Source organism: Homo sapiens, chromosome 10, assembly GCF_000001405.40.
Source record: "Homo sapiens chromosome 10, GRCh38.p14 Primary Assembly".
In the NCBI taxonomy this organism is placed as follows: domain Eukaryota; kingdom Metazoa; phylum Chordata; class Mammalia; order Primates; family Hominidae; genus Homo; species Homo sapiens.
In genome coordinates, this window is record NC_000010.11 from 89,910,520 (window position 1) to 89,926,447 (window position 15,928).

General features: G+C 40.8%; 2 long non-coding RNA genes across 3 annotated transcripts in view, besides 1 other annotated feature; one reads left to right on the forward strand and one right to left on the reverse strand.

Annotated features, from left to right (window-relative positions):
- LINC01374 (long intergenic non-protein coding RNA 1374) overlaps positions 1-4,437 on the forward strand; it is a 61,051-nt gene extending 56,614 nt beyond the window's left edge. For both annotated transcript variants that reach the window (NR_149080.1, NR_149079.1), the window contains exon 2: positions 4,117-4,437. This is a non-coding gene — a long non-coding RNA (long intergenic non-protein coding RNA 1374). The remainder of the gene's footprint in view (positions 1-4,116) is intronic.
- A 532-nt stretch (positions 4,438-4,969) lies between these two features.
- The window catches only part of LINC01375 (long intergenic non-protein coding RNA 1375), a 41,885-nt gene continuing 30,926 nt past the window's right edge, over positions 4,970-15,928 (reverse strand). Inside the window, exon 4 of the long non-coding RNA NR_110655.1 lies at positions 4,970-6,252. This is a non-coding gene — a long non-coding RNA (long intergenic non-protein coding RNA 1375). The remainder of the gene's footprint in view (positions 6,253-15,928) is intronic.
- Positions 10,442-11,641: an enhancer, noted in NCBI's record as "P300/CBP strongly-dependent group 1 enhancer chr10:91680718-91681917 (GRCh37/hg19 assembly coordinates)". NCBI's record gives its function as "activates an origin of replication core promoter dependent on BRD2, BRD4, P300/CBP, MED14 and CDK7 cofactors, with strong dependence on P300/CBP, by STARR-seq in HCT116 cells {active_cell/tissue: HCT116}" and the evidence as "EXISTENCE:reporter gene assay evidence [ECO:0000049][PMID:35650434]".

The following is a 15,928-nucleotide window of genomic DNA, read 5'->3' on the forward strand; positions in this document are numbered from 1 at the left end:
GCTGATGTTTCTTCAGTCTTTGAAGTTAGTGACCTTTGAATGGATTTTTTTTTTCTTTTATACTATTTGATGACCTTGAGTGTTTGATTGTGGCATATGGAGCGGTTAAGACAGCTGGCTTCACTTCTGGAAAATTTTATGGGGCCAACACTCAGCTCCCAACTCCTGGACTGCATGCTCTAATTCTGGGGGGTTTTTATTGGGCCCTGACTTTGTTCTCTGGCTACTTGAGGTTAGAAATCCACTGCATTGTGAGGGCGCAGAGGTGCTCCCAGACCACTAGTCACTATACTGTTATGGGTGGTGTCAAACGAAGCATTTTGTAGTGTGGTGGCAGTGGGTCTGTCCTTGTTTCCACGTGTCAGCAGCAGCAGCAGCAGCAGCAGTGGCAGCATGGTGGGGTGCATGTTCTTCAGCTGTGGCATGTTGCTAGTGGGTGCATGGGCACCTCTCTCCCTGTGGGTGTTCACCACAGTGGTGGCGGTAGCATGGCTGGGGGTGGGGACTTGGGCCCCTGCTGACAACTGTCATGCTGGTGGTGGTATTAGCCAGGAACAGGGTGCTGCTAGGCCAGGTCTGTGTGTACTCTCTGTGTGTGGCAGACAGGCATGGTCACTCAGGGAAGGGGAGAGTCTGCTGTTCTCTGTGCCAACTTTCACTCCAGGAGCAGTGTTGGCGCTAGAGCAGGTGCTGGTGGAGGTAGGGCTGGCTCTCTCTGTGCTCAGCTAGGCTCTGACTGCAATGGTGGTCTGGCGGGAGGACATGGGTGGCGTGCACTCCCACTGCAGCAGTGGAAGGGCACTAACAGGACAAGGAAGACAAAACCTGCCTGTGCACACATGTGCCAGCAAGGTGATGTGGGGGTTGCTGTGGGCCCTGCAGGAAGCTGCAGTGTGGGGAGAGAGCAGGCAAATTTGTGCATGACCATGGGGGCCACCTCGCTGGAGCTCTCTGCCAGTCAGGCACAGTCTGCCAGTGCAGGAAATATGATGTAGGTCCCCAGGACACTCAAGGCTGCCCTGCAAGCAGGCATGGCCACAGCATGCCTGGTCATTCTTATCCACACTAAAATTTGAGAAACACTGCTTTAAAGGTTGTATCAGGTAGTTACTGCTCTGCAACAAAACTGCCCCAAAACTCAGTGACCTAAAGAAATAATCTTTATTTTTGTAGGTTTTAGGTCAACTGGTTATATGATCTAGACTGGGCTCAAAGGAAGGGGAAGGTGGCTCTGCCTAAGATCTCTCTCATTTTCTCCTTGGATCTGGGGACTAGACCAGAATGTTCTTCTTATGGTAATAATGGTAGAAAGATAAGAAAGCAGGTAGAAATATGCAAGTGTTTAGCCTTTTTCCTGTTCAGAGAAAACTGGGGACTCACAAACCTTTTCACAACCTGAGCACAGTCTATCTCTTTGAGTTCAGGCTGGTAGTGCTTCTACCAACACAGTTCTCTAGACATTTGTGGGTTTTCTATATATTTCATTTTCATTCATACTATGTGACAGAGGCCATACGAACAATTTTTTTTTTTGGTTAGTTTTACCTCTCTAGACTTAATTACTCCTATTTAGGTCATGACTGGTTGCTGGGGGATCATCCTCCCTTAGCTTTATGGAAGCCCTTCTGTGCAGCTGAGAAAATGCCTTATTTCTTACAGATGTCTTAAGGGATGTACAACCAAACTCTTACTTTAATCTTTACTCTGAGGGCATGTCTTACTGCAGTGCCCGTAATCTTTGTTCCCAGGAATTATCTTAATTTGAGAATCTTTTACTGGTTGAAAAGTCTAAATATGAGAATGCATTTTACTTTGAGTAACAGCTTCCTGCATTTCTGAGCCATGTTCCCTCTCAGTTCTGTTTTCAAATTTGCTAGTTCATGCTTGAGTTTATCTCTCTTTTATAGTAACTTCTGCTCATAGACAGCTAAAAACAAGCTGATGCTTCCAATATTCTGTCTGAAGATTTACTTGGACAAATTCAAAAGTTTATTAGATACATTTTCTATCTTCCAAGTTACCATAAATGACAGTTCAACCAAATATTTCACATCTATATAATACAAGCCTCCTGTAAGTTTTCTTACTATGTCTCTAGCCTCCTGTAAGTTTTCTAACCATTTTTCCAGCTTTAACACTTTTCTTGCCATTTTCTCAGCCTCATGCACCATCTAGTTCTAAAGCCAGTGTCTCATAATTTAAGTTTTTGTTACAGCAGCATCCACTTTCCAGCACCAATTTCTGTATCACTTCACTATTGCTATAACAAACTATCCCCAAACTCAATGCCTAAAATAACAATCAGGCCAGGCGCGGTGGCTCACGTCTGTAATCCTAGCATGTTGGGAGGCCAACCAAGGCAGGTGGGTTGCCTGAGTCTGGGAGTTCAAGACCAGCCTGAGAAACGTGGGGAAACCCTGTCTCTACAAAAAATACAAAAATCAGCTGGGCTGGTGGTGCATGCCTGTAGTCCAGGCTACTAAAGATGGTGAGGTGGTAGGATCACCTGAACCCGAGAGGTCAAGGTTGCAGTGAGCTGTGAACATGCCACTGCACTCCAGCCTGGGTGACAGAGCAAGACCCCCATCTCAAAAAATAAGATAAAGTAAAATAAAATAAAATAAAATAAAAGCAGTCATTTATTATGTTTTGATAATAGATGGCTCTGATCTACAGGATAAGAGAATAGATACAGAGGGGTGTGTAGTATTGCTATTAATACAATCTATCACAAAGATTAAGACTTTTTACCTTGGAATGGTAGAGAATACATTTTTATTTGTCTGTTGGATAATGATGTTATTTTCTTTTCACACTTAAAAAATGCTTTGATAAAACTGTACTGTTTTCTTCCAAAAAAAATCAATGACAGGTTTTTAAGTCTGCAAAACATCAGTAAATGAAGGAAGCTGCTGCTTTAAAGTTGCAAATCCAAGTTTGAAGCAACCAAAATTTCTACAAGCTCTCACTTCAAAGGGTAGAGAACTGAGCAGGGCAGCTGGATAGAAGAAAGTCTTCTCTTTATTGGCAGAGTCACTCTAGGAGCCAATATGTTTTCTGTATTCCAAGGCCCATGGAAGGAACATATAGAGCTTTGAAGTCAGTTGAACTGAAGTATTTGGGGAAAATTACTCAATAAGGCAGAGGGTGAGAATGCAAAAACTGGACGTGGTGGGAAGAGCTGAAGACCAGTATGACCTTAGGACCTGGGGCACTGCAGCACCTCTGTATGCCTGCAGAGAGAATGCAGTTTGCCGCATTCTGCTGTGACTTTATCTTGATGGTACCTATCAAAACTACATTCTCTTGTTTAGGTATATCTCCTCTACATACAGGGCTCTTCTTTGCTTCCCCTTACAAAAGCTTCTTCTCTCATCGAAATTAGCATTTATTTACGCCTTCATTCAACAAACATCTGAGCGAGTGAAAAAAGTGTCTGTTGAGGACTCTATCCTTTGGTGCTTTGTGAAACAGAAAGGGAAGGTTGGGTTCATAATAGCAAGAAGGGTAATAAGTATAATCTACATGATTGAATTAAAAAATCTTGCTCGCATATTAATTTTGTAAATACGGTAATTGGCTAATATTTGCATACTATGAAATGCTTTTACCAAAATATGACTGGAAAACAAATATGCTCCATTCTTTGTAATGTAGTGAATTAGTCAGGGAAGACTAATTGCTGTAGCAAAACTTCCCCAAACTCAGTGGTTTAACATAATCAAAATTTATTTCTTACTCATAACAGAGTCTCATGTGGATGGGAGACACTACTCCAAGAGGTCACTCAAGAATCTGGGCTCCTTCCATCTCGATGCTTCCCCATATTATATTATATAATTCCTTGTAGTTCACCCTATTTACCTGTCTGATGGTGATGAAGAATATGATGGTTTTAAAATGATCACGTATTATCTGTGACCTTTCTATGTGTGCATACCTCATATGCACTTGCGGAGATCGAACCTTATTTCCTTCCCTTTTAGTGTGGATGTACTTAGCGACTTGCCTCTACTGAATAGAAAAAAAATGGAAGAACAATCTTTGGAGACTAGATCCTAAAAAGCTTCCTGCTTTCTCTCTCTCTCTCTCTCTCTCTCTCTTTCTTTGTCTCAGGTTGCTAACTTTGGAGGAAGCCAGCTGCCATGTCACAAAAAGATTCAGGAAGCCATGTGGAGAGGCCCACATCATGAGGAACTGAGGTCTTTGCCAATTACCAGCAAGGAAATGAGGCCTCCTGCCAACAGCCACGTGAGTATCCTACCTTGGAAATGGACCCTCTAACTTCAATCAGCCTTCAAATAACTGCAGCCCCAGTTGATGGCTTGACTGCAACCTTAGGAGAAACCCTGAGCCAAAAACATTGAGGAAAAACACCCCCAGATTCCTATCAGAAATTGTGTAAGATAATAAATGTTTGTTGTTTTAAGCTGCTAAGTTTTAGGGTGATTTGTTATACAGAAGTAGATAACTAATACAGAGACAGAAGAATTACTTTTGGGAGGGTTTGATCATTCTGGGCCTGCAAGAAGCCTAAACTGCTTCCTACCCCTTTGTACTGATGAGAGCTGAGGCACATGGTCACACCTAAGAAGCTAACTGCAAGAGCACCTGGGAAATACAGTCTAGCCAAGTGCCCAGGAGGAAGGAAACACTTTGATAAATAGCTGGCCAGTCTTGGCCACATTCAGTGAGTTTATATTTGGGAATGTTTGGACCACAAGAATCTGGTGACTATTTATTCCAATTCAGACAAGATTCTTAGAGGAAATAGGTAAAGTCTTTGACATAGTCTCTTTTCGAGAATGATGCCAAAAATGGCTGGAGTTTGTCTATGTCTTTGGTTTGTCTAATTTAGTAGTGCTGTCATAACAACAGCAGCAGCAGCACCGCTACTGACAACTAACATTCATTGAACACCCAGGCATTGTAAGAAGCATTCAATTAATCATCACAACAGCAGAGTGAAGTAGGTACAATTGTCTCAATTTTACAAATGGGGACAATGAGACACAGAGAGGTTAGACAACATGCTCAACGTTTCAGGAACATCTGTGTAAGCCAGAGATCCAGCTCTTTAGCCTAAGTCTGTATTTCTTTAGGGCACTGGATTTCCTAACCTGCAAGAAGATCAGCAGTGTTAGCAGAATGTTGAAAGCAGAGATTTAGCTGTTCCAGAACTTTTTTCAGTGGATGGTGCGGGAGGAACCCTGACCTGCCCTACAGTGTGGAGAAATGTGGGTTGGGGATGCCCTTCACTGTGGGAAGTAGCTTGAAGATGCTTTAGGCACAGGTGTCATCCTACAAGCAGGTAGGAAGACATAAGGCAGAGCAGTAAAACTCCAATTTGGCTAAATAAATTTATGTTTGTTTTTCTTTAGCACAACTCTAGATAGGTGTGCTTCAGTTTCTTCTTCTGTGTACTAGGAATAAAAATACCTTCCAAATGGGCTTGTTATATGACAAGCTTGAATGACATGATATATGCAAAAACATCTGGAATATTTCTGGGTCTACAATCAAAAATTTTTTTTGGGGGGGGTATACCAATGCCTTTATATTCTACTGAATAGAGGCCATATCTTATTTATCATTATATCCTAAGTGCCTAGTACAGTATCTTGCACAAAGTGATTGCACAATACATTTTTGTTGAAGGTACACATGAATAAATGGTACAATCATTTCTTTTTCATTCTTTTTGGGAATGAGGAGCTCAGTCTGAGATGTGCAGTCTAATCATCATCTGCTCCATTTGGGGGCTGCTTAAGAGTTCCAAAAGTGCTTCCACATGCAATATCCTATGCCAGTGCCCCATCAGGACATTACCTTTGCCTGTTCCTGGAGCAGTGGGAGGCAACCCTTATTAAAGTACTTTGTCCAATTCAAGATTGAATAAAGTCTAACAAACTTAGTGAGTGCTCAGAGGAGAGCAATAAAAATGGATTAAATAGACCTTCTAAAGAAAGGTTAAGAGAATTGAGATTACTTCAGCTAGAGCTGCTGATGGGGGGAATAATAAATTTTCAAGAAACAAAAGAATATCTTGCAAAACTTGGTGGTTAGCAGTGGGCTGTTTCCCTGGAGGGCAGAAGAGAAAGAATTTTGATGACTTTCCTGTTTGGCATTAACAAGCAGCCTCTCTTGCCCTCTCTACCCATGGAATTGTAGCAGTCACTTGCTCTCTGAAAATTCTTTATTGCATTAGGACATCCTCTCCAGAGTGTTGTGCCTCTGAGTACTGTGAGGTCACTAGGGCAAAGCAGAAAAAAGACATATCAACTAAAAGGTTAGAATGTATTCATCTCTTGACTTGGCAGTTTGAAAGGAGAGGACCGTAAGCCCAATTAACCAGAGGCTCCAAAGACATTTATAGACATTACATCTCCCTTCTTTGACTTCCTAAGACTTCTAAGGTAGAATTCTTATAAATCTGCTACATTCCATAATATGTGTGTGCACAGCATACTCACTTTACTCTTGCTCAATTACCCCATAAATTTTATGGATAGGGGAAGGTTTCCTGGGAGAATGAGAGCTTGGAAATGGGTATTAGCAGTGCCACTAAATGTATGGTGTTCCTTGCTGAGCCCTGAAGTTAACTTACATTAACTTTATATAGCTTATAACCTAACAGATGTTTTTTGAGTGCTTTCTATGTGCCAGGCATTGTGTTAAGCACTAGGTATACAATGGTGAAATGTATGTATGTGGCCCTTGCCAATATAAGGCCCTAACACAGGACCTAAAGGCCAGTGAGGGATACAGACAGATCAAGAGGCAACCAAAATATAGTAAGATATGTGCTATATAAGATAATAAGAGAAACCAACCCAACCCAGAGTTAGCGGGTCAGGGAGAGCTTTTTGGATAATATGATGCCTAAGTGATCCATGAAAGATGAATAAACATTAACAATTATCATTAATTCCTTCTTTGGCCACACTATTAGTTCAGATATCTCTTATTTTGGAAATAGATGTCATTACCTAGCTCACTCAGTCACATTCCCTTTCCTCCCCAATTATTATTTTTCATCTTATTTTTAAATTATTAACAGCATAATCTAGCCATCATTTGCATCATTTAGGGGGGAAGAAAGTCTCCAGGTGTAGTTAGCTCAGGTGAGAGTAATACATACAGGTAGCACATATGTCACTGCAGTTCTGTTCATGAGGATCATCTAGAAAAGGATCTCTATTCACTTGAACTAGACAGAGCAGAAGCCCCACTAACATACATTTATACAGGAAGCCAGGGCACTTTCCTGGTATTGGTGTACCATTACAGTTTTTATTAATTATTTTTTGTTTATTAATAATCAATGAGGCCACCATGTAATGATAAAACTTATTAGAATTAAATATCAGCTGCTCGGTGTTAAATAATTAATTACAATCAGCCTCGTAGCAAAATACAAAGGAGTAACTGCCCAATTCAAGTGTTTCTCTCCTTTCTTGGGACAGTGCCCACACCGAGGGGATGGCCTTCGGTGGCTGTGTATCTACACTGGCTACAGCTGACTGATCCAGGGTTAGATTCCTGGCCCATTTTGGGCCAACTGGATGACATCTTAGGAATTTTTGAATTGGGTCAAGAAAAAATGTGAATTATTCTCTCTTGGTGGTGGCCATTGCAAGATATATTCTTGGGCACTGATAATGGCTATGTGCCTTCCTCTGGTCTGCAGTAGGAGGATGTGAAGAGAGAGACCTAGCCAAAACCAGAGAGAGGGAGAGAGGAGAGGAAAGGAGAGAGAGAGAGAGAGAGAGAGAAATAGAGTGGGAGTATGCATTTTAATGGCATCTATTTCTCTGGCTTTCACAGTTCCCAAGGCCCAGTTATTTCTGCGCCTGTGCTGCAGTTTGCTGATGTGAGAAAGATCAGTGCTCTTTTAATAAATTCCTTTGGTTCTGCCTAAGCTACATCAAGGTGGGATTTTGTCTCCTGCAACCAAGAGTCCTAATGAAGATAGGCCTTTAGTATAGTCAGAAACCTGCTTATTCACTACTTGGTGGTAGAGGGTTATGGCACAGAGCATAAAACTCACTGGTATCCTCCTTTGTGAGCTTGCACATCAGGACATCTTTTGAGGTACAGATAATTTTAGGAGGATGAATATTTGGCTCAGATCCCAAGGTTCTATTCTACACCTGCATTTGCAACCTCCATACCAGGTTGCAGGCTTCTAGCCCATCAGCTCTCATTGCTGTTTCCAGAGGGTCCTCTAGGTGGGAGGTCTTGTGCAGTAGCTGCCCCCACCAGGTTCTGGAGTAGGACAAAGCCAGGTTGGGATTTTAAATTTACTTCTGTGGGTAGCTGTGTAGCTTAGGAAATTACTCACTCCTTTGAGCCTTGGTTTTCTCTTCTATAAAATGGAAGCCTATACCAGAAGCAGTGGCTCATGGTGGTAATCACAGCACTTTGGGAGGCCGAGGCAGGTGGATCGCTTGAGCGCAGGAGTTCAAGACAGCCTGGGTAACATGGCGAAACCCCTGTCTTCACAAAAAATAATAATAAAAAATTAGCCAGGCACAATGGTGTGTGCCTGTAGTCCCAGCTACTCAGGAGGCTGAGATGTGAGAATCACCTCAGCCTGGGGAGGTTGAGGCTGCAGTGAGCCATGATAATCATGTCACTGCTCTCGAGCCTGGGCAACAGAGCAAGACTCTGTCTGGGAAAAAAAAAAAAGTAATCATTGAGTGTTGTTAGGATTAAAGGAGGCATTATGTATAAATTATTAGGAAGAACAGTTGGCACATAATAAGTGCTCAATAAATATTAGCAATCATTTTAATACAAACCAAGTCTACAAATAGGAAAGGAATGTGTTTTCCCACTCAATTGTTATAAGGCAATGGATGAGGTCAATTTTTAAGATGCAGAGAATTACTCTAATCCTGCTATAAAATAATGCAGGGACAGTGCTTTAATGCCTCAGAAGAGATCTAAACAAGATAAGGGCAAATTATGATTGAATTTCTGCTTGTGACATAATCTGACAGTTTTCGTTCTTCCTCACTCCCCAGTTGGAAAAAACTGCAACAAAAAACTGTCGAAACCATGCAGTGGACTTTCTATATTATGCCTCACTTCATCCTGAAATCCCATAGACCCTCTCCAGGGGGTTTAATTACCTGAACTATCCAAAGAAACTAATTACGACAACCCAAGGTTGCCCTGAAGTTGCATTTATGCTCAACAAAAAAGGTCATAAAATCTTCTCTGCTTATAGCTCCTGTTTATTTTTTCAGTTTGAGATAAATAAAGCTGATTGTAAGAAGAGTTTAAGGTCAGCCAAATTTGTTTCTGGCACTTTTTATTTTCTTTCTCTTCTCTGAGGTCCCTCTCTGCCCTTACTGCAAATTTCTCTCTTTTTGCCACCCCCCCCCCCTACCAAATTAATAAAATATTTGAGGCAATATAATTGTTGACAGTGCTTTACAGTCAGACATATGTAAATTTCAATTTCAGCTCCAAATTGGTGGCAATAACATGCACCTCTTTTATGAGTGCATATGTGCTCAATAAATGAGAATTATTGACAATTATTATTGAAACTAATTTATATTAAAACATCAAAGTAATGGTTCTTGAAATATGGTCTGGAATAACTTTCATCAGAACAACCTGGAGCTGTTATGAAAAATGTCAATTCCTAGGTCTCATTCTGAAGCTACTGACCTCTGGGAGTGAGACTCAGGAATTGGCATTTCTTAACAAGCTCCTAGTTAGTTCTTATGCACATTAAATTTTGTGAGTCACTGAGATTATACTTGAAGATGACAGAAGTCAAGTCAATGTGTTACCTTTCTCAGTCATATTTATATTTTGGCCTGACTTATAACAGTGGGGTAAAAGAATTTGGGACTATGTCACAGCGATCAATAAGCAGTAGTAGAAAGGCTTTTCTGAACTCCAGGGATGCTTAGTCTCTGGAAATCACACTGAATCCACATCTCAAGCTGACTCCAAGGGTCATTATGCTTTTGCTGTTTGAGCCCTTAGCTTCTTAGTAGCTGTACTAAATTGTGGATAGTACTGACACACCTTGGGCATTTGCAGTGTGGGGGGCTTTTTCAGTTACAGTGACTGAGTGGGTCCAGAGATGCAAATGTCCTGCCTTGCATAAGGTAGTTCTGCACAGTGAAGAAGTGTCCTGCCTTGGAAACCATAATATTTCTGCTGAGGGCCAAGGCAAAAGGAGCAGTTTCCTATCACTGCTCGTCTGTGAAGTTGGAGGCACATTTCCCAGAGCACCTAGTAGTAGAAGACCAGTGACAGATCCCCAGGTTTTTGTCTGCTGTGCTATGTGAGACCTATCCTGCTCCTGCACAGGAATGTCTCCAGCCCTTCCTTGCCTGGATACCTTCCACCTGCAGATAACGCCTTCCTTCTGTATTATAGTACAAGAGGCTGCAGCTGGAATTGTCTTCAAAGCAGAGGCAGAGTGACCATAAAGCTAATGAAGCTTGAGCTTCTGAGCTCTTCTCTTGCCTAGACCCTTGTGAGTGCTGGGAGCTGTAGAGTGGGAGAGGGAAAGTCAGGCTCCCCCAGGAAGCTTCAATGTAAGCGTTTCTGACTGATTGTCCAGAGGGTCTCATGGGAAAGGCACCTGGATCTCCAAAGTGCCAGTAACTTGTCGTGACTTATTTTGTCATCTTAAACAAACATTTGTTTAGTTTTGCATTTGTTTTTAAAAAGCCCCTACTCTCCAAATTATATAAACTGCAGACTCCATAAAACCTGGATCTTCCCATGCTTCTGATTGGGTTTTTTTTGCTTTCTGAACATATTTGTGTGGGGCTTAATAGATTTTCATATGAATATAAAATGATGAGCCTATAGTGGTGTCTTGGGGCCAGAGGTGAACTGAATTTGTGTTCCATATTTCTTTGGCCAAAGGTAGTTTATGGTAGCAAATTCCCTACATTTCCAAACTGCTGACTCGAGGTGTTCTCAGGTTATACCTGTGCAGAGATGACCGAAGCATGTAGGGCTAGTCAATATAGCAGTGGCTGGAAGAACAGGTAGGGTTGAGCCAGCCGATGTGACACACAAGGGCTAGCTGATAAATGCATTCCTACATAACCATCGCAGCACAGTTAATCAGATAATTCTCCACAGTATCATTCCACTGAAGGGTTAGTCCTATTGAAGAAGATTCCAGTTTATAAGAGTCATTGAAAGAATCAATAATACCTGGTGGATGACGCATTCATCTGTAATCTAGACTTGGCTGCTACTGAGTAGCTTGTAAGTCTTTGGCAGATAATTCTATCTATGGACAAAAAGGGGGAATGAATTAATTTGCTCCTCTCGAGGGAAAACTATGTGTTGAATATACTGACCCAATTACCTTTGAATTTTATTAAATATGAGAAGCTATTTGGCATAGAATTTAATATCCACTCTGCTTTTTTCAGATCTCCATTGAAATAACTAATTTTCTGAGAAGCTCTGTTCAACTCTTTGTTGAGGTTATCTTCACCTCTTTTCAAAAGACTTCCATTCTCCTTCTACCTATGTGTACCACAAACAAACTTACCTTGATCAACCCTGTCTGCGCTTCAGCATATTTTTATGCTAAATCTAGGCCAGATCAGTGTTTCTTAGACTTTAATGTGCACCAGAGTCACCTGAAGGGCTTGTTAACACAGATTTCTGGTCCCACTCTCCAGGGTTTTGGATTCAGCAGGTCTAGGATGGGGCTGAGAATTTGCAAGTCTAACAAGCTCTCAGGTGATGCTACTGCTGCTGGTCTACGACTGCACTTGAGAACCACTGGGCTGGACAAATAGACCCAAACTCTGGCTGATTATCAAAATCATCTGGGGTAATTATGACCAGAAAGGATGCCTGAGGCCCATACCTGAATGCATGAGAATCTCTGGGAGTCTGGGTCAGGATGGAAGTGAGGTGGATAGGGCACCCTGAGAGCAAATGTTTTCTTAAATTTTGCATCCTGAGCACCTCACTCTAGTCCTGGCCCTGCCACCAATTTGCACTTAATGCATCAGACTAGCTGCAGCATAGAAATCTCTCTAAAGCTTGCTGGAGTAAATAACAAGAGTGTGAAGTAGCCTCTTAACCATTTATAGATTGGGCTACTTTTTTTAACAAGGGATGCTAGTGCAGCGATATTTTTAGAGCTAAAAATTCACAGGTCGTGAGCTTACTAACTGGTTTCAGCTAAATTCCTTCCTTGGTATGGAACCTTTAAGTTACTCAACCTGTTGAAGGTTAACTGCTAATGAACCACTGACCTATATACTAGGAAAATATAAAATGCAATGGAGCGCATATTGGGATTAGAGCTGGGAGATGTTGATGGTGGTTGCTTCTCTTTCCTTGTCAATCATATGTATGCTTGCAAATAATATTTAGTGATTAGCATGTCACAGTAGCAAAAGTACTTTTCTCTCTAAGAATAATTTATTTTGAAATAATTTCAAACTCACAGAAAACTTGCCAGAAGTTTTACAAAGAACTCCTATATCCCCATCATCAGACTCCCCAACTGATAACATTTTATTGCATTTTCTCTATTGCACTGGATTCTTTTCTCACCCATGTCCCTCACCCAGCTCACTCTCTCTCCCACCTCCCCCACCTTGCTCGCTCTCTCTCCTCTTCTCTCTCTCTCTCTCTGTCTCTCCCCCACCTTCTTTTCTTCTCTGGTCTAGGATCCCATCAGGGCACATAAAGGACATTTGATTTTCAGGCCTCCTCCAGTCTGAAAAAGTTCCTTGGGGTTTCTTTTTTCCGTGTTCTTGATGGGTTTAAAGTATGAAGCCCTTTCATTTCAAAGGGTGCTCTCAGCTGTCTGATGTTTTCTTGCCACCATTCTTAGGTCATGTTTTCTTGCAGGAACATGACAGAAATAATGCCCTTCTCAGGGTATCACCTCAGGGGGCACTCTCTTGATGCATCCCACCACTAATGACATGAACCTTCATCACCTGGTTATGTTGGCATCTGTCAAGTTTCTCCACCAGTTTTTCTTTTGTGCTTAGTTATAATTTTGTGGGAGGTATTCCAAGATTATGCCAATATCCTTTTGCTTCTATGATGACTGCCAAATGATGACTCTCCATTTTCAGCACTTTTTCTACATTTTTTAGTTGCCATTTTATTGTAAAGCAAGGTTTAATATCATGTAATCATAGATTTCTATTTTATTTAATGAGTTGTCATTTGACACTTTCATTCTTCATTTGATGCTCAATTTTTCTACAGTTTAAATGGTGGTAGCCCCTTCATGACATTTTCCCATCATTCATTGACTATTTTCTTATTTTCTGGCACAAGGAAAAGATGCCCCAGGCTCATCTTGTTCTTTCTGTGACTCAGCCCAGGAATGAGCCATTTCCTCAGGGAGACACTTAGAATCCCCAAACTCCCACCAAATAGCATTTATAATTGAGAATTACATGTTAAGAATTCAGTTAGCTTTCTAAATTTAAGCATATGCATATCAACAAATGTTAAAAACTCAAAACACAATGTATACGTTGAAGGAATAGATAAAAATGGGAAGATAGACCAGTGAAAAGTTTTTATGGTCATGGTCTTTGTTTATTTCTTCTTGAGTTATACCATCAGCTGAAAAATGTACATACCTCCCAACATTTTATTTGCAGTCTAAGTCTCTTCAGTGTTAACTTGCATCTAGTTAGTCGGTTTCCTTTCTCTGTGGCTGGTTTGGTGGCTTAGATGGACCAAAAGAGTTTTGGCTGTTGACCTTGCAATATATCCCCATGAAGATTTACTGAATGGGACAGGGTGTAGAGTTCAATCCAGTTTGCAGTTTGAGCATAAGAAAGATTCTGGAAAAGACCTGCTTATTGTATGTAGTTTGTACAAACCAAAGATGGTGTCCTGGGAAAGAAATCTGCTGATAACATAATTCTAGTGGTGTTCTTAGAAGGTCAAATTGTTTCCTGCTGAGTTTCCTTGCCAAAATAATTGACTTGCAACCTGGAAACAGCAGCAAGAAGGGTGAAGGGAGAATGAAGGCATTATTGCTTCCTGTGAATTTTTGCTTTCCTGAAAAGATTCAGGTTTTCCAAAGTTCTCTGCTATTTTAAAATTCTAATAAGAAGCAGACCTGGCATCTTGTAATGGTTGAGTTCGTATGGTAATTGCATTACAATAAATAGCTGAAGTGCTAGGCCCATAAAAGTGACCCAAGACCCTCTGTTCTCTTGCAATAGGGGACTCTTTAATAGCCACAGATTTTAAAGGGTCAGTGTCCCTTTGGACCATTTCTTCCAAGCAGAAATAAGCAAAAGTCTACCTTAAGGGCACTGTGTTAGGTGTGAGTAATTTTATGTCTTTGCTAAGTTAAATGGTATTATTAGCCAGAGAAAGTTATGCTGACACAATTTAGGCAGAAATGATATAGGAGATTGTTGGAAAAATCAAACCTTTTGTTTTTCCAAACAAGAAATTAAGCTATTTTGGTGTTATTGGGAGGAAAATAAACTGAAAATTGTAGTATTAAAGAACACATTTGTCTTTAGGATGTGGAATAAGAATACCAGAATCTCCAGGTTTATAAATTAGATATATGAATATGTATTTCATATTCCTTTTCTCCTAATTTCCATTATTCATGGAATTATAAGCATAGAGGAGAAAAAAATAAACTATTTCTAGGACCGACTTCACTGCATTCAGATCTTCATGTTTAGGCTATGGTGCTCAATGGAATGAGGGATGGGAAAGATGTATGAAACCTAGATGTGCCTGTGAGTAGCTCATGATTATGCAGGGGATCGGGGGATTGTATAAGTGTTGCTATGAGTGCAACACAAAGCTCAGTGTGAAATAAACCCTAGGAGTGGCAAAACTAAATGTGATCTAGGTTAAGGAAGAAAGATGTATTTAGATGAAACTATTTGGAGTGTGTGTGTGTGTGTGAGAGAGAGAGAGATAGAAACAGAGAGAGAGAGAGGTACACAGAGAGAAAGAATAATGCAGATGTTTCTAAATGGAAAGGGCACAGTTATACTCGGCACATCAAAACAAGAGGACTAGCAGGTTGCCCATATGGGTATTCACACTATGACATTTACCTTGGTAAATTCACTAGTGTCCTAGAGACTGGCTTACAGTATTTCAGTTTCAAAAACTGAGGTCTCAGTGTACCAGAGTTGATTTGGCTCAGTGATGTTGACTCAGTGTAGCAAAGCTTACATGGGTTTAATGTACAATTTATTAATCCACAATGGGAATTACAATCCTCACTGAGCAGAACATTTATGTTAGCATGCGCACAGTATTCTTGTAGGCCTACATGAGCAGTTTACCTGCAGTTGTGAAATCAGAATCTGGAGGATTGGCTGTTTGATTTCAAAATGAAATGGCATCAAGCTTAACGGACTGTTGTGTCCATTTCCTACGTGAGGGTACCCTTGGTCATAGGACCCATCAGATACATCTTTGAGCCATGATAAAACGTTTTCCCCTGGACATTGCTCAGACTAGCACTGCTCACGGTGGGCTCTGATGCTCTTCCTTGTCTTTTTCCACAGGTGACTAAAGATCCTGTTTGGTTTGACCCATTCTATCCCCTCTACTCTGCAGAGATTAAAAGCAGAAGATGGTGGATTAAACAACAGAATTGGCTAAACTAAAAAATGGTTTAAAATGATGCATACACACTTACATTTTTAAAAATTAATAGTTTTCGATGTAAATTCATCCACTAATCTTTTGATATAGAACCACCATATCACATTTTCATTGATTCTTAGTTTGGATTTCATAAATTATACCCATTATGTAATCTTTACGACTTCCAGGGATGTGTGCGTTACAATCATTTAAGGTGACTTATAAAGCAATCTGAGGGCAGAGTTTTCCCAGATTTTTGTGATTTCCCCCTCGCTTCAGGCTTTTCTTATTTGCACTTAATTTGATA